The sequence below is a fragment of the Homo sapiens genome, chromosome 7, assembly GCF_000001405.40.
Source record: "Homo sapiens chromosome 7, GRCh38.p14 Primary Assembly".
In the NCBI taxonomy this organism is placed as follows: Eukaryota; Metazoa; Chordata; class Mammalia; order Primates; family Hominidae; genus Homo; species Homo sapiens.
This window is the reverse complement of record NC_000007.14, coordinates 75469318-75486597: the sequence shown is the minus strand read 5'-3', so window position 1 is coordinate 75486597 and position 17280 is coordinate 75469318. Positions and strand designations below refer to the sequence as shown.

The window sequence follows — 17280 nt, the reverse complement described above, 5'->3', positions numbered from 1 at the left end:
CCAGGACCCAGTAACGGAGCCCTGGATTTGACCCTAAAAGGGAGTAAAGACAAAGGTGAAGTTCAGTCCGGGGTTCAGGGCTGCCAAAGCTCATAGCCTGGAGCTTCTTAACCTTTAGGCAGGGTAGAGACATTTAAGACGGCCCCAAAACTGGGGGAGCGCGTAGGCTCCTGGGAAATAGAGTCCGTTACTTGTCCTGGGACCCGCGGTGGGTGTCCCGGGAGGCGGACTTCCGGTGCACTCCTGCGCTTGTGCACCTCTCCCTGCGTGCGTGTTCGCACATGCGCGCCACCTCCGCACTGCCCTCGCTTCCTGTGCCTCTTCAGGTCATCGCTTGCTCTCGTTCCCAGGCTTTGGCTTCTAGTGGACGAGAATCACCGAGTCTGCGGGGCTGGATGCTGACCGCCCGGACCAGCACCTAGGCGGGCGGGAGCTGTGCGGCCCAGGGTTCGCGCGGGCCGGGTAGAGGCTCGAGCTGGGACCCCCGAGCGTGAACCCCGGAGCCGGCGGCGCTGGGGCCAGAGGGGCCGGGAGCCCCAGGGAGGCGGATCTGGGCCCCGAGAAGGACACCCGCCTGGATTTGCCCCGTAGGCCCGGCCCGGGCCCCTCGGGAGCAGAACAGCCTTGGTGAGGTGGACAGGAGGGGACCTCGCGAGCAGACGCGCGCGCCAGCGACAGCAGCCCGCCCCGGCCTCTCGGGAGCCGTGGGGCAGAGGCTGCGGAGCCCCAGGAGGGTAAGTCTTGGGTTTTTGGGCCCGGAGCGAGAAGGGCCTGGGTGAAGTCACCTTGTGTTGGGGACCTTTGAGTGTGGGGCAGAGGGAGGGTCCCGATTGCTTGCCGGAGAGACATGTGTTGGGTTTGAGGGCAGGGTCCGGCTGCACCGAACAGGTGCTGCATGGGAAGATCTGGGAGGACGAGGCTTACGGAGGCGTGGAGGGTGTCACCACCCTCAGCTGCGGACGTCGTCTCCACTCCCCGCTAACCCCTAACAGTCCTTCCTCCTCCTCTCCGTGCTCCAGATTTCGACCGCCTCTAAACGTCCGTCAGCACTTCTATTCTCTCACTTAAGTGTCTGCTGATCCCCCCCCTTAGACCTGCCCTGGGAGAATCGTAGTAATGCAGGAACAGTCTGCAGGGATTCTCTGCTGCTGCCTCAGTTGCTAGGGGAAGAGACTGGGCCTTAGGTGGGTGACTTGACCAGGTCACCGGCTTTGTGGGTAGAGCTGCTCATAGTAGAACCCAGGAGACTTATCTCCCAGGCCAGTGTTCTTTCTCCCGTATCCTAGTTTTCTTAATAGAAGATTATTAGGTGCAGCAATAACCAAGTTCAGTTAGATAATTTAGAAACAAAACCATATTTTATACACATTCATTTCATTTCTGAGAGCTCACATACTCAATTCCTATGGCTTATTTTATTTTAAGCAGTTTAAAGAGACAATAAGAAAATGCGGGCGGGATGCAGTGGCTCACACCTGTAATCCGAGCATTTTGCGGGGCTAGGGCAAGAGTATCCCTTGAGACCAGGAGTTAGAGACCAGCCTAGACAACATGGGGACACCCTGACTACAAAAAATACAAAAGTCGCCAGGCATGCTGGGATGCATCTGTGGTCCCAGCTACTCAGGAGGCTGAAGTGGGAGGATGGATGGAGCCCAGGAGGTCGAGGCTGCAGAGAGCCGTGAATGCACCACTGCACTCCAGCCTGGGTGGCAGATTGAGACCCTGTCTCAACCAACAAACCACAAAAAACATGAGCCGTATAATGGGAATTTTTTTTCTTTTTGCGCCTTGTATTTGATGATGATGGCAGACTATTTGTAAAAGGAGTCATGTTACCCATGAGAGTCTAACTCATCTAATTACTACCTGATTATCTTAGAGTTACAGGCGCATGCTTCCCCTATCACTCTTTTTTTTTTTTTTTTTTTTTTTGAGACAGTGTCTCTCACCCAGTCTGGAATGCAACAGCGTGGTCTCGGCTCACTGCAACTTCCACCTCCCAGGTTCAAAGGATTCTCGTGCCTCAGCCTCCTGAGTAGCTGGGACTACAGGCATGTGACTCTATGCCTGGCTAATTTTTTTTGTTATTTTTAAGTAGAGACGGGGTTTTGCCATGTTGGCCCAGGCAGGCGGATCACTTGAGGCCAGAATTTGAGACCAGCCTGGCCAACATGGTGAAACCCTGTATCACTCTTTTAGACCCTTCTGAGTGTTTGCAGGTTGAGTGTTCACAGGGTGTTAGCCTATTGAGCTTTCTTTTGCGGTTCTTATGCAGGTGATTTCTGCCTTTGCAGGCCGGAGCCCTCATGACTTCAGTGACCTGCTTCTGCCCCTCTAGGTCTATCAGCCACAGTCTCTGCATGTTTCCAAGAGCAGCAGAAAATGAACACATTGCAGGTGAGTTTTCCTGCTTGTGTATATGTTCCTCAACTTTATTTTATGATGCATTTTAAGAGGTTTGTAAGGATTCATACTTTTTTTTTTCTTTTTTTTGAGATGGAGTCTTGCTCTGTTGCCCAGGCTGCAGTGCAGTGGCATGATCTCGCTTCACTGCAACCTCCACCTCCTGGGTTCAAGTGATTCTCCTGCCTCAGCCTCCTGAGTAGCAGGGATTACAGGCGTGGGCCACCATGCCCAGCTAATTTTTTGTATTTTTAGAAGAGATGGGGTTTCACTATGTTGGCCAGGTTGGTCTCAAACTCCTGACCTCAGGTGATCCTCCCGCCTCAGCCTCCCAAAGTGCTGGGATTACAGGCATGAGCCACCGAGCCCAGCCAGGATTCATACTTTAAAATGGGAATGTGGAAATAGACATTATCCTGTAAAATATAGTTAGTGTGGCAGATCAGCACCAAAAATGATTTGTGAAGCTTGTATGTATGGGTAGTATATTTTAAGGCTGTTGAAATTGAGCCGCACCTAGGACTGATACTCTTGGCAGTCATCACAAAAGGAAAATGCCATCTGTATTAGTCCATTCTCACACTGCTATAGAGAAATAACCAAGACTGGGTAATTTATAAAGAAAAGAGGTTTAATTGGCTCACGTCTGCAGGCTCTATCATAGGAAGCGTGGCTGAGGAGTCCTCAGGAAACTTACAGTCAAGTGAAAGGTGAAGGGAAAGTGGGTGCATCTTCCATCACCAGAGCAGGAGGAAGAGGGAACATTGGGGATTACAATTGAACATGAGATTTGGGAGGCGACACACACCGAAACCATATCACCATCCATGACATCGTTTGCATTGATTATAAGGAGAAACCAGTTTTGTTACTTGTGGACTTAAAAGATTTTCTGGGACTTGGAAAAATTTCTTCATTCAAGTTGATATAATTGTGGATAGCTTTCCTAACAACAACCATTAAATTACTGTAACTTATGGCTTATTCTTGGTGCTTATGTAAGCAGAGGGCCTGCTGCCCAAGGAGAACTTGGTGCATATAATTTTTCCAGGGACGGAAATATCGTGATCCAAGTAAACAATTCTGTTTTTACTGTTGAGTCCTAGATCATGGGGGGAATGAATGACGTGATCATCCGTCAAATATTTGTTCGTCTTTTTGTTCGGGTTGCACAGCAAACAATACAAACAGTTACTCTCTTGTGAAGATTTCCTCATTTCTGTTTCTCATTTCACTTCTCCGTGTTTTCGTTTTGTCCTTTTCACTTTGCTAAGTCAGTCAGTAAAGGTGACCAGTGATTTAATTGCAGTCAAATCCAGTGGGCATTTCCTAGCCCCTTCCTCACAGTACCCTTTGTCTGCCTTTGACATCCGTTACTTCCAAACTGATATTTTCTCCATGGAGTCTCTCTTTTCTTGGCTTTTAAAAAGATTCATCTGTAAGTATTTGTTTGTCTTTAAATGGTGAAGTCTGTTTTGTTTTGTTTCTTTTTTTCTTTTTTTGAGATAGGGTCTTGCTCTGTCACCCAGGTTGGAGTGTAGAGACGTGATCACAACTCACTGCAACCTCAATCTCCCGGGCCCACACGATCCTCTTGCCTCAGCCTCCCGCCTAGCTGGGACTACAGGTGCACGCTGCCACACCTCGCTAATTTTTTTTGTATTTTAGTAGAGACTGGCTTTCACCGTGTCATGCATGTCGAACTCCTGAGCTCAGGCAGTCTGCCCGCCTCGGTGTCCCAAAGTGCTAGGATTATAGGCGTGAGCCACTGCTCCCGGCCTAGAAATGTATTCTCACTGTATTGCTCAGGCTGGTCTCAAACTCCTGGCCTCAAGCAGTCCTTTCACTTTAGCCTCCCAAAGTGGTAGGATTACAGGTGTAAGCCACCACACCTGACCAATAAGGAATCTTTTTAAAAGGGGCTAGGAATAACCCATAATACTGTCTTTCTTAATACATGTGGCAGTTGGGTTAAATCTTTTAATAGTTCCCATAGTATGTCTCCTGCGTGCTCATTGTTTTGAAGAAACTGGGTTGGTTATCCTCAGTTTGGATTATGTTACCCTTGTTTCACCTTTAGCACATTTTTTAAAAATATCTTGTATGCCTTGGTAAAATTGGTAGTTTGATCTGGAAGTCTAATCAGGTTTATGTTCAGTTCTTTTCACACAACTATACCATACGTGGCATTTGTCTACTTCTGGAGGCACGTGTTACCTTCTTTGTTTTTGTGAAGTTAAGAACTATTGACTTGATTATTGCTGTGATTTACTATTGCTGTGATTTGCCTTCATTAGGGGAGGCAAAATGGTGATCTGCTAATTCTACCATTTCTTCTTTATTTACTAGCCAAAATACTTTTCTTTTCTTTTTTTGGAGACAGAGTCTCACTCTGTCGCCTAGGCTGGCACGTTTATGGCTCACTGCAGCCTCAAACTCCTGTGCTCAAGTGATCCTCCCACTTCAGCCTCCCAAGTAGCTGGGAGTATAGTCATATGCCACAATGCCCAGCTGATTTTTTAATTTTTAGTAGAGACAGGTTTCTCTATGTTGCCCAGGCTGGTCTTGAACTGGGCTCAAGTGATCCTCTTCTTTAACCTCCCAGTGTTGGGATTATAGGCATGAGCCACCACGGCTGGCCTAGAATACTTTTCTAAAGATAAATTTCTATTCTCTATTTGTTTATGTAATTCATGCAGGAAAGACAGTTTCTAAAATATTGAGTAGGCTTTTAAGCAGGAGGGTATTTTGTTTTGTTACCATCATGAGCTCATGGGTTTAAACAGATAGTAAATATTTCAGTACATAGAAGTTGTGATTCTTTTTGAAAATTAAGTGGTTCCATCTTTGGCCAGACGGAATCCCTTTAAGTTGGTTTCTGAGTCCTTTTGAAATATATTTGATATATATGATAGCAAATATATACATATAATATATGTTTGATAGCAAATATATACATATATATTTGATAGCATTATTTTCTATTTAGCATTTTATTTTGAAATCATTTCAGATTTTCAGAAAAATTGCAAGGATTTTACAAAGAAATCCCAGATACTTCCTTTTGTTCAGATACTTCATTCTTAACATTTTCCCACATTAATCATTTATATGCCTATATACGTATGTGTATATATATATATTTATATATATATATATATTTTTTGAACTATTTGAGAGTGGGTATAACGTGTCATGCCTCTTTACCCTATAAAGTTTTAGATTACAGCTCATAAAATCAAGAATATTATATTAAATATCCATAGCACAGTAATTGAATTCAGGAAATTTATCATTGATTTAATACTTTTATCTAAACTATAGTTCATTTTCCAGTTTTGCCAATTTCCCAATAATTTCCTTTATAGCAATTTTTAATTTTTGGTAGAAGATTCAGTCTAGGACTGTTAATTGCCTTTAGTTTTCATGCTTTTTAAGTCTGTTTAATACGGATTTGTTCCACAGTGCCATTATAACATTTGAAGAATACAGGCCAATGATTTTATAGAAGTCTTTAAATTTAGGTTTCCCTGATCTTTCTTCATGATTAGATTTAGACTGTGAATTTTTGTCTGGAATGCTACATGGAACCTCTTAAATTTATGGCTCAGAACAGGATCTGTCTTGGGAAAATTCTGTGCATGCCTGAGAAGATGGCTTGTTCTGCTCTGGTTGGGTGGAGTGATTGATAAATGTTAATGAGATCAAGTTGGTTGGTTGTGTTGTTCAGGTGTACTATATCCTTGTTGATTGTGTGCCCACTTGTATCAATTGTGGGGGAGAGGGGATTGAAATCTGCTGCAGTTGTGGTTCTGTTTCTCTTTGCAATTTTACCACTTTTTGCTTTATGTGTTATATTAGATACATAAATGTTCAAGGTTATTACGTCCTGTTGATTAATTAACCACTTTGTAAAATGGCCTTCCTTATCCCTGCTAATATTCCAGGCTGTGAAATGTACTTTGTTATTTATGTAGCATTCTTTTGAGTAATACATGCATGGTATATCTTATTCCATCCTTTTACTTTTAACCTATTTGCATCTTTATATCTAAAGTATTATTTCTTACAGGCAGCAAAATTTGGATCTTGCTTGTTTTCATCAGTCTATTTCTGTCTCATAATTGGGGATGTATAAACCGTTTACATGTAATGTGATTATTGATAAAACGAGTTAGGTTATAGTCCGTTGTCTTTGCTTTCTTTTAGTCTCATCTTCTTTGTTTCTTTTTAAAATGTCTCTGTTTGTCTTCCTTCCTTTTGATTAGTTGAGAATTTTTTATGATTCTACTTTATGTCTTTTGTTGGGTTTTTAGCTATCACACTGTTTTGTTATTTTAGTGAGTTAGAATTTATAGTATGCAACTTTAATTGTCATAGTTTATTCTTAAGTAATATCCATTTTTCCTAGAATAAGAGAAGCTTACAATAGGACACTTCCATTTCTCTCCTCTTGGTCTTTACACCGTTGTTCATTTTATTTTTACAGGTGGTATCAGTGCCACACACTATCTATTACGTTGTTGTTAATTAAACTGTATTTATTTATTTATTTATTTATTTATTTATTTATTTAGAGACAGAGTCTCACTCTGTCCCCCAGGCTGGAGTGCAGGGGTGCTATCTTGGCCCACTGCAACCTCTGCCTCCTGGGTTCAAGTGATTCTCCTGCCTCAGCCTCCTGGGTAGCTGGGATTACAGACACCCACCATCACGCCCGGCTAATTTTTGTATTTTTAGTAGAGACGAGGTTTCGCCATGTTGGCCAGGCTGGTCTCGAACTCCTGACCTCAGGTCACCCATCTGCCTCAGCCGCCCAAAGTGCTGGGATTACAGGTGTGAGCCACCACACTTGGCCCAGGTATCTTTTAAAGAGATTTAAGTAATGAGAGAAAATACACAGTTACCATTTCTGGTACTCTTCATTCCTTTGTGTAAATCTAAATTTTTATTTGCTGTCATTTTACTTCTGCCTGAAGGACTTTCTGTAACATTTCTTCTAGTTGATGATGAATTATTATATGTCTGCAAATGTCTTCATTGTGTCTTTGCTTTTAAAGGTGTTTTTGCTGGATTTTTCTCCACAGTGCTTTAAATATGTTTCTCTGTTGTCTTCCTGCTTACATTTTTTTCTAAGAGAAATCTGATCTCATACTCATGTTTGTTCCCCTATATATAACATGTCTTTTTTTCTTCCCCCCTTATTGTTTTAAACTTTTTATCACTAGTTTTGGACAATTTGATTGCAATATGTCATGGTATCATTTTTTTCATGTTTCTGTTTTGGGGATCATTGAACTTCTTGGATCTTGGGTTTATGGTGTCATCACTTGGGGAACATTTTTATCATTATCTCTTCAAGTACCCGCCACCTCCCCTCCATTGATTCTTGTTGCCTGTATATTAGGCCACTTGAAATTTTCCCACAACACACTGTTGCTCTTTATTTGCTTTTAATTCTTCTTTCTCTGTTTCATTTTATGTAACTTCTGTTGCTGTCTTTATATTCACTAATCTCTTTTTTCCATGATGCTGTTCATCTTTTCCAGTATAATTTTCATCTCAGATATTGTACTATCTGTAGAAGGTTAGCGTGGGTCTTTTTTACATCTTGCCTGTCTTGATTTTTTTGAACATTTGGAATAGAACGATGAACTCTCTCAGTGCTCTGTGCCGGTTGTGAACTCTGTGTCAATTCTGGGCCAGTTTTGATGGACTGATTCTTTTCTTCCTTATGGGTTGTAATTTCCTGCCCATTTTCCCATCCCACAACTCTTTCTCCTCACATCTGCCTCGGTTCTTCTTCCCTGCTCCATGGCCTGGAAACGCTCAAGGCAGAAGTTGATTGGTTCACCTTGTTTATTTCCCATCACTCATAGATAACTCTACTGCCTGATAATCAGTGCCTTGAAAACCACTGCTTCAGCCCAGGCGTGGTGGCTCATACCTGTAATCACAGCAACAACAACAAGGCTAAGGTGGGCGGATCACGAGGTCAGGAGTTCAAGACCAGCCTGGCCAACATGGTGAAACCCCATCTCTACTAAAAATATAAAAATTAGCCGGGCATGCTGGTGCACGCCTGTAATCCCAGCTACTCGGGAGGCTGAGGCAGAAGAATTGCTGGAACCCGGGAGACAGAGGTTGCAGTGAGCCAAGATTGTGCCATTGCACCCCAGCCTGGAAGACAAGAGCGAGACTTCATCTCAAAAAACAAAAAACAAAAACAAAAACAAAAAAACAAATCATTGCTTTCGTATATGTTCTTGTTTTATTTTTCTTTCTGTTTTTGATTTTGTTGTTCTTTGGTGTGTGCTGTTTCAGGTTGGAGGGTATATCCAGTACTTGTTAATTTATCACACCTGAGGGCAGAAGTCCTCATGTCTCTGTCTATATGTTTTTTCTAATATATATATTATTTTCTTTGTAGAGACAGGGTCTTGCTATGTTGCCAAGGCTGGTCTCAAGCTCCTGGCCTCAAGCAATCCTTCTGCCTCAGCTTTCCAGAGTGCTGGGATTACAGGCATGAGCCACCACACCTGGCCTGGGTCCAGTTTTATCCATGTCCAAATTTTTTTTTCCCTGAGCTATTTTTGATTTTCTTCCACCTCATATGAACTGTAGTGTCAGCTTATCTAGTTCCAGGAAAAAGCTTTTTGGTATTTTTATTGGGATTGCATATTTATAAAGTAATTTAGGGAAACTGGTATCTCTGTATTATTAAGTTGACCTTAATACTACAACTAATTTTGTTGTTGTTTTTGGATTTTTAGTAGAGATAGGGTTTCACCATGTTGACCAGGCTGGTCTTGAACTCCTGACCTCAGGTGATCTGCCCGCCTCGGCCTTCTAAAGTGTTGGGATTACAGGCGTGAGCCACCGTGCCCAAGCACTTTTACTTTTTCTTAGTTATATTCCTCTAATTGTTTTCTCTTCTCTAATTGTAGATAATGAGCATTTTATTAATACCTTGTTCTTGATCTTAGTGGGAAGATATGTAGTTTTTCCCTGTTAAGTAAAATCCTGACTTTCGGACCGAGAAGACTGAGGCATAAGAGTGTGTGTGTGTGTGTGTGTGTGTATACACGCAAACTGTATATATGTGCTTGTGTGTAATTGAAATACATATGTCACATATCATACGTACTATGGCATATTAGGGTGTAATATTTATATTTGTGTATATAATATTGATGTTAATGAAGTATCCATCAGTTTCTATTTTCTTTAGTTTGTTTTTTTAAATCAGCTTTTTCTGTCAAGCTTTTTCAAGTATCTTCATGGATACAAGATTTTTCTTCTTTGCTGTGTTATAGTGGCTTATCATATTAATAGATTTCCAAATATTAAACTAGTCTATATTGTTGGAATAAGTCCTATTTGTCTGTTGTATATTATGTTTTTAATCTGGTACTGGATTTTGTTTGGTTATGTTTCATTTTGGGTATTTGTATTGATGTAAGTGGTATTGACATGTAATTTTATGTTATTTATTGGTCGATCAGTCTTCTAACCCCCACCACCTCCTTGCCTTCTGGACTAAGTTAACCCAGAAAGTTATTACTCTCTCTCGGTGATTTTATCAGCTCCTTTGGCCTGCCTGTGGATAAGCTTGGATGTTCTGCTTTAGTTTCTCAGCCCACCAGCCTAGCAGCTCTGCCTCTGCTATCTCTTGGGATCTACATGGTCCTAGCTGTATCACTGGGTTTGAACCCCTTGTTGATATGTTCTTTATAAATAACAGGATAATGCAACATGCTTACTGGGCACTTCCTTTTTCTAAACTGCAAGTTTGGGCAGGGCATGCTGGCTCAAGCCTGTAATCCCAATACTTTGGGAGGCCAAGGCAGGTGGATTGCTGGAGCCCAGGAGCTTTGCATTTTTCTTTTTTTTTTTTTTTTGAGACAAGGTCTCGCTCTGTTGCCTAGGCTGGAGTGCAGTGTTGCATTCACAGCTCACTGTAGCCTTGACCTCCCAGGCTCAAGCCATCCTCCTGCCTTAGCCTCCCAAGTAGCTGGAACTACAGGCATGTGCCATGATGCCCAGCCAATTTTTTAAAAAAATTTTATTTTTAGCAGAGATAAGGTTCTTACTATGTTGCCCAACCTGGTCTCGAACTCCTGAGCTCAAACGATCTTCCCATCTCGTCCTCCCAAAGTGCTAGGATTATAGGCATGAGCCACCATGCCCAGCCCCAACCTCTTAAAAATTGAAGCTGCTTCATGTTTGCCATTGGTACTTTTACACCTCATCATATTCTTCCTCCCCTTCATCCCATAGAATACACAATTCATCTTTAAGGACTTCAAGTTAACTGAGTCTGTGAAGCCTAATCTGATGGCATAAAGTTAAAATAATTTGATCCTCTTTTGTTAAATCATTCTGCACCTTGTCTGCATTACTCTAATAACAGCTTTGGGCATTCATTCATTTAACGAATATTTATTGCTGTGAGATTGAGATGTTTGAGATAAAATCAGTCATGCAGATAGCCAGAGGCCACTGGCTATGAGAATAAAAGAGCCAAAAGAACAAGGAGCTGAAACTAGGTGAGAGCCCCAGAGCAGTGAGTTAGGAAGAAGAAGACCAGGAACTGAGTGGTGGGCACTCCAACATGAAGAGGTCCCGGAGAAGGGGAGGGCCTGGCAGCAAAGAAGACTAAAAGAAGTGACAAGAAGTAAAATGCTTGTGTTTGTTTACATGTTTATCTCCTTATTAGGTTGTCTGCTTTCTGAGAGCAGGCATGGTGTTTCACTCATCTCATATCCCCAAAACTCAGTTCAGTTGCAAAATAGGAGCTCAGTTGTGTTTTGGCTTTTTATTTTTGTATATATATAAAGGACCCCAAAGGATATGTGTTTCCAATATGATTTCCCTTCCATAATCTGTAACATAAAATAAGGTATACAATGTTCATGGTTAACTTCACCAGTGAGCTTTGTAAAATGTTATCCCCCTATCCCTTTTCCATATCTCCCAATTCTGATCATGTTGCCATTACAGGGGCCAGTGTCATTCAAAGATGTGGCTGTGGATTTCACCCAGGAGGAGTGGCGGCAACTGGACCCTGATGAGAAGATAACATACGGGGATGTGATGTTGGAGAACTACAGCCATCTAGTTTCCTTGGGTGAGGATAGCTTGCTTTCTGAATGCTCTCAGTTGAATGGGGTTTTATGCTTGAGTTTGAAGAAATAAGTGGCAACACCATTTAATTCCTTGTGGGCACTAGCTGCAGTGTTTATATTATTCTTCATTGAAAGGTTCTAACTTTGATAAGGTAAAAAATGGAGCATTTCTGTTATGCAGCTTATGAGGTGGCAACATCTTGTACTTCGGAGATTCTGAAGCCGAGCAACTTGCCCAAGTCCTTCTTCTTTTCCCATTAACAAGATATGATATCACCAAGCCAAACGTCATCATTAAGTTGGAGCAGGGAGAGGAGCTGTGGATAACGGGAGGTGAATTTCCATGTCAACATAGTCCTGGTAAGTTAGTAGAGTATCAAATGTTAAAAAATGCTCATCCCAGACCTTTGGGAGTGACTAAAGAGTTGTTTATATGTATTCGGTACCCTCAGTAACACCTCCCAACCCCCAAATATCACTTTCCTTCCCGCACACATACATGAACTCTTTTGTTTATTTTATATTTGATTTACATTGGTAGGGATTTTTTCATTCTAACCTATACTGGGGACCCATTCACTTCCTCTTCCTCCAGCATTATCGGTCACTTATTTACTCCCTCGCCATTAGAGAATTGTTGTGGGCTGTTTGTTTTTTTGTTTGGTTTTTGGAGACGGAGTCTTGTTCTGTCACCCAGGCTGATGTGCACTGGTATGATCTCAGCTCACTGCAACCATCACCTCCCAGGTTCAAGCGATTCTCCTTCCTCAGCCTCCTGAGTAGCTGGGATTTCAGGCACATGCCACCAAGCCTGGCTAATTTTTGTATTTTTAGTAGAGACAGGGTTTCACCATGTTGGCCATGCTGGTCTTGAACTCCTGGCCTCAAGTGATCCACCCACCTCAGCCTCCCCAAGTGCTGAGATTACAGTCCTGAGCCACTGCTCCCGGCCTTACAGAATTGTTTCATTTTGGGGCATTCAGAAGTCTGACATAAAAATTAACTTGAGACTTTTATGTTCATTCTTTTTATCTTCCATTTTCTTTCCTTCCTTGCTTTAAAAATACCTTGGACTTGGCCGGGCGCGGTGGCTAACGCCTGTAATCCCAGCACTTTAGGAGGCCGAGGCGGGCGGATCACAAGGTCAGGAGATCGAGACCATCCCGGCTAAAACGGTGAAACCCCGTCTCTACTAAAAATACAAAAAATTAGCCGGACGTAGTGGCGGGCGCCTGTAGTCCCAGCTACTTGGGAGGCTGAGGCAGGAGAATGGCGTGAACACGGGAGGCGGAGCTTGCAGTGAGCCGAGATCCCGCCACTGCACTCCAGCCTGGGCGACAGAGCGAGACTCCGTCTCAAAAAAAACAAAAAAACAAACAAACAAACAAACAAAAAAAAACCTTGGACTTATTTTCTGCCCTCGATTTTATTTATTTCTTTAGGCATTCAGATACCAAAACCTCGTCCTCCACCTGTGCTTGTGAATTGAGTCACAGCTTGTGGTGTACCTTATTTCCCCAAGTCCATGCTCAGTTGATGTGATGATGTAGCGCTCCCTCAGCTTTCCCCTCTTTCCCCAATGCTCATTTGTGACCTGTCTGTGTGTTCATTTCCCCTTCCCCATAACTGGAATCATGCTCTGTCCATAGTAGACATTCAGGAAGTGTGAATTTCATAAGTGAATGTTGGTTCCTTTTCTTGCCTTTTCAGGAGTGTCCTCTTAGAACCCATTTTCCACTTTTTTGGTTTTCTTTGTATCCCGTAAAAGAGTTTATCTAATCTCAACTTCTAAGACCTTTTTTCCTGTGTATTTTTGCAGCTTGCCTCCAAATTGATATGTCTGACACTTTTAACCTAGTTGAATATTTTACTTGACAATATAGCAGTACCAGTGAGATAGTTCACTTCCTTCTTTCTCAGAATGTCTGATGATAAACTGTGCAGATTCCAAAATCATGAATTCTGTCTACCTTCCTCACCTCCCACTATTTGATTGTGCTAGTCTTCTCTCCATGGTTTGTGTTCTTTGTCTTCTGTGAAATGCCTTGCAGATCGTCAGCACATTCTGTTTCTTTTGACATTCGTGTTCAGTATTCTCCCATACCTGGATTACAGTGGATCCATCTTCCATTCAAATGATCATTGTCCTTTTCCTTCATCTGCATTTTACTTGCTGAGATAATACATATTTTCCCTTCCTTTCTTCCTCTCTTCCCTCCCTCCCTTCCTCCCTCCCTCCCTTCCTTCCTTCCATTTTGAGATAGTGTCTCGCTCTTGTCACCCAGGCTGGAGTGCAATGGCATGATCTCGGCTCACTGCAGCCTCTGTCTCCCAGGTTCAAGCGATTCTCCTGCCTCAGCCTCCCAAAGTAGCTGGGATTACAGGTGCACACCACCATGCCTGGCTAATTTTTATATTTTTAGTAGAGACGGGGTTTCACCATATTGGTCAGGCTGGTCTCTAACTCCTGACCTTGTGATCCACCTGCCTCAGCCTCTCAAAGTGCTAGGATTACAGGCCTGAGCCACTGTGCCCAGCCTACTTATTTATTGAGACAGAGTCTCACTCTGTCACTGAGGCTGGAGTGCAGTGGCACAATCTTGGCTCACGATAACCTCTGCCTCCCAGATTCAAGTGATTCTTGTGCCTCAGCCTCCCGAGTAGCTGAGATTACAGGCATGCACCATCACGCCCGGCCTATTTTTGTATTTTTAGTAGAGACGGGGTTTCAGTCTGTTGGCCAGGAGTTCTCTGTTGAACTCTTGGCCTTGTGATCTGCCCACCTCAGCTTCCCAAAGTGCTGGGATTACAGGCGTGAGCCACTGCACCCAGCCCCCTTCATTTAATTTTAAATTGTGGTTAAAAAAACACGTAACATGGCCAGGCACGGTGGCTCATGCCTGTAATCCCAGCACTTTGGGAGGCCGAGGTGGGCGGATCACGAGGTCAGGAGATCGAGACCATCCTGGCAAACACGGTGAAACCCCGTCTCTACTAAAAATACAAAAAAATTAGCCGGGCGTGGTGGTGGGCGCCTGCAGTCCCAGCTACTTGGGAGGCTGAGGCAAGAGAATGGCCTGAACCCGGGAGGCAGAGCTTGCAGTGAGCGGAGATCACACCGCTGCACTCCAGCCTGGGCGACAGAGCCAGACTCCATCTCAAAAAACAAAAACGTAACATACAATTTACCATCTTAACCATTTTTAAGTGTACGGTAATGTTAACTGTATTTGCATTGTTGAGCAATAAACTTTAGCGTTGTGCGTTGTGTGTCGGGTTTTGTCAAGCACGTGACAGCGCGTAGTAGGTGTGGAGTGTGGCTCGTCAGCAAGCGCTCTGGCAGGTCGTGCTTTCGCCATCTTCATCCCTACTTACTGTGCTCCCACTCCCTTGGGTCCCAGGATCCCACTCCTTCGATGAAAGTCAGTCTTCCATCTCTGCCTGGTGCTTCTGCCCTGGTTTCTGCTCAACTCGGCGCCGTGTCTCTGTTCCCCAAAGTTCTGTTTCTGTTCTGTGCTGCCCCCTCCCCCTGCCCCCGTTTTGTGTTTTTTAAGAGTCAAGGTCTCGGCCGGGCATGGTGGCTCACACCTGTAATCCCAGCACTGTGGGAGGTGGAGGCAGGTGGATTACCTGAGGTCAGGAGTTCGAGACCACCCTGGCCAACCCGTCTCTACTAAATATAGAAAAATTAGCCAGGCGTGGTGGTGCACGCCTGTAATCCCAGCTACTCCAGAGGCTGAGGCAGGAGAATCACTTGAACCCAGGAGGCAGAGGCTGCAGTGAGCTGAGATCGCGCCACTATACTCCAGCCTGGGTGACAGAGCAAGACTGTCTCAAAATGAATAAATCAATCAATCTATCATTTACCTGCTCAAAAACTTTCAGTGGCTCCCAACTGTGGTCGGTTTAGATGCTTAGCTCATTAGAATGCCATCCAAGCTCTAGATCTGTGGCTTTCAAGCTGGGCTTTGAGACGCATCATGAGTTCAAAGGGGAGAGTGAGGGGAAGAAGCTGAATTGGGGATTTCTGGTTTTCTAGCCCGTTGTCAATCTTTGGGTTTTATTCCTTTTTCAGATTGTGCTTCCATTTAAAAAAATGAGTTCCAGTTTAAAAATATATATATATGCTGGACTGGGCATGGTGGCTTATGCCTGTAATCCCAGCACTTTGAGTGGTCGAGGTGGGCAGATCACTTGAGCCCAGGGGTTCGAGGTCAGCCTGGGCAACATAGGGAGACCCCATTTCTATAAAAAAATTTAAAAATTAGCCAGAAGTGGTGGCATGCACTTGTAGTCCCAGCTATTCAGGAGGCTGAGGTGGGAGGATTGCTTGAGCCCAGGAGGTCAAGGCTGCAGTGGGCTGTGATAGTGCCACTGCACTCCAGCCTGGGTGACAGGGTGAGACCCTTTCTCAAAAAAAAGAAAAAAAGTTAAATTAGCTGGGCATGGTGGCACGCACCTGTAGTCCCAGCTACTTGGGAATGTTGAGGTAAAAGAGGATTGCTTGAGCTCAGAGTTCTCAGGTTGCAGTGAGCTATGATTGTACCACTGCACTCCAGCCTGGGCAAGAGTGATACCCTGATTCTGTAAAAAAAGAAAGAAAGAAAAGTGCTTGAAAACCATTGCAGTAAATGATCCATTCTAAACTATTTTTGGCCATGACTCCCACTGTTTACCCATCCCACGAAGTGTTCATTTCCTACTTCTATTAGAACATGTCACATTCATTCACAAAATATGTACTGATCATTAACTATTTGCCTGCCACTGTTAAGCACTGGGAATAAGATAGTGAACTGAACACGTTACCCTAATAATTTAACACTTTATTGCAGGAAAAGATGGACACTAAAATATATGTGTCAAGGCCGGGCGTGGTGGCTCATGCCTGTAACCCTAGCACTTTGGGAGGCCGAGTTCAGGAGTTCGAGACCAGCCTGGGTAACATGGCGAAACCCCGTCTCTACTAAAAATACAAAAATTAGCCAGAAATAGCTTGAACCTGGGAGGCTAAGGTTGCAGTGAGCCGAGATTGTGCCACTGTACTCCATCCTGGGCAACAGAGCAAGACACTGTCTCAAAAAGTAACAATAATAAACCAAATAAAATATATGTGTCAAATGGTGACAATTACTGTGAGGGGAAAAAAGTTCCTTGGGAGTGGGAAGTGATTACTTTTTATAAGGTGGTTGAGAAAGGACTCACTGATAAGATACTTAGAGAGCTGAAGGAGGTGGAGAGACAGCCATGCTTACCTCCAAAGGAACAGCATTCCAGAGAGGAGTATGCATGGCATGTTTAGAACAGCAGAAAAAGCCAATGAGGCTGGAGCGAAGTTCAGCAAAGGCAAAGGTGGAGAGAGTTGAGATCCAAGAGGGAGTAGGGAGTCATGTCATGCCTTGGTGAGGATCATAAGGATTGTCTTTTACTCTGAATAAAATGGGAATCTTTGCAGGTTGAACAGAGGACTAATGAGATTCAACTTAGTGTTTTTAAAAAGATCTCTCTGGCCTCTCTGTTGAGAACAGTTCATAGGAGAACTCTGGTCAAAACAGGGGTCCTGGTTATAAGGCAGCACTCCAGGCAAAACAAGCCAGAGGTATGGATGAGAGAGGCAGCTGCAGATAGAAGTGGTCACATGCAGGATGTATTTTGAAAGTAGACCTGGCCAGGTGTGGTGGCTCAGGCCTGTAATCTGAGCACTTTGGGAGGCCAAGGCAGGAGGATCACTTGAGCCCAGGAGATC

At 43.7% G+C, this 17280-nt stretch overlaps 1 protein-coding gene across 3 annotated transcripts in view, besides 4 other annotated features; it reads left to right on the top strand.

Moving 5' to 3' along the window:
• Window positions 75-574: an enhancer, noted in NCBI's record as "H3K27ac hESC enhancer chr7:75115301-75115800 (GRCh37/hg19 assembly coordinates)". NCBI's record gives its function as "activates a minimal SCP1, AML or CMV promoter by ChIP-STARR-seq in primed H9 embryonic stem cells {active_cell/tissue: H9 hESC(primed)}" and the evidence as "EXISTENCE:reporter gene assay evidence [ECO:0000049][PMID:30033119]".
• POM121C (POM121 transmembrane nucleoporin C) overlaps window positions 299-17280 on the top strand; it is a 69514-nt gene continuing 52532 nt past the window's right edge. Inside the window, exons 1-4 of one of the 3 annotated variants that reach the window (NR_160304.1) lie at window positions 299-734; window positions 2298-2400; window positions 11410-11536; window positions 11716-11894. The gene's annotated coding sequence lies outside the window, so the exon portion shown is untranslated. Of the gene's footprint in view, window positions 735-2278; window positions 2401-11409; window positions 11537-11715; window positions 11895-17280 lie in introns of all 3 variants that reach the window. The other 2 variants (NR_160303.1, NM_001099415.3) reach the window with 2 other exon arrangements.
• Window positions 392-541: a silencer, noted in NCBI's record as "silent region_18296". NCBI's record gives its function as "represses an Ori minimal core promoter by ATAC-STARR-seq in GM12878 lymphoblastoid cells {active_cell/tissue: GM12878}" and the evidence as "EXISTENCE:reporter gene assay evidence [ECO:0000049][PMID:35858748]".
• Window positions 562-631: a silencer, noted in NCBI's record as "silent region_18295". NCBI's record gives its function as "represses an Ori minimal core promoter by ATAC-STARR-seq in GM12878 lymphoblastoid cells {active_cell/tissue: GM12878}" and the evidence as "EXISTENCE:reporter gene assay evidence [ECO:0000049][PMID:35858748]".
• Window positions 912-991: an enhancer, noted in NCBI's record as "active region_26177". NCBI's record gives its function as "activates an Ori minimal core promoter by ATAC-STARR-seq in GM12878 lymphoblastoid cells {active_cell/tissue: GM12878}" and the evidence as "EXISTENCE:reporter gene assay evidence [ECO:0000049][PMID:35858748]".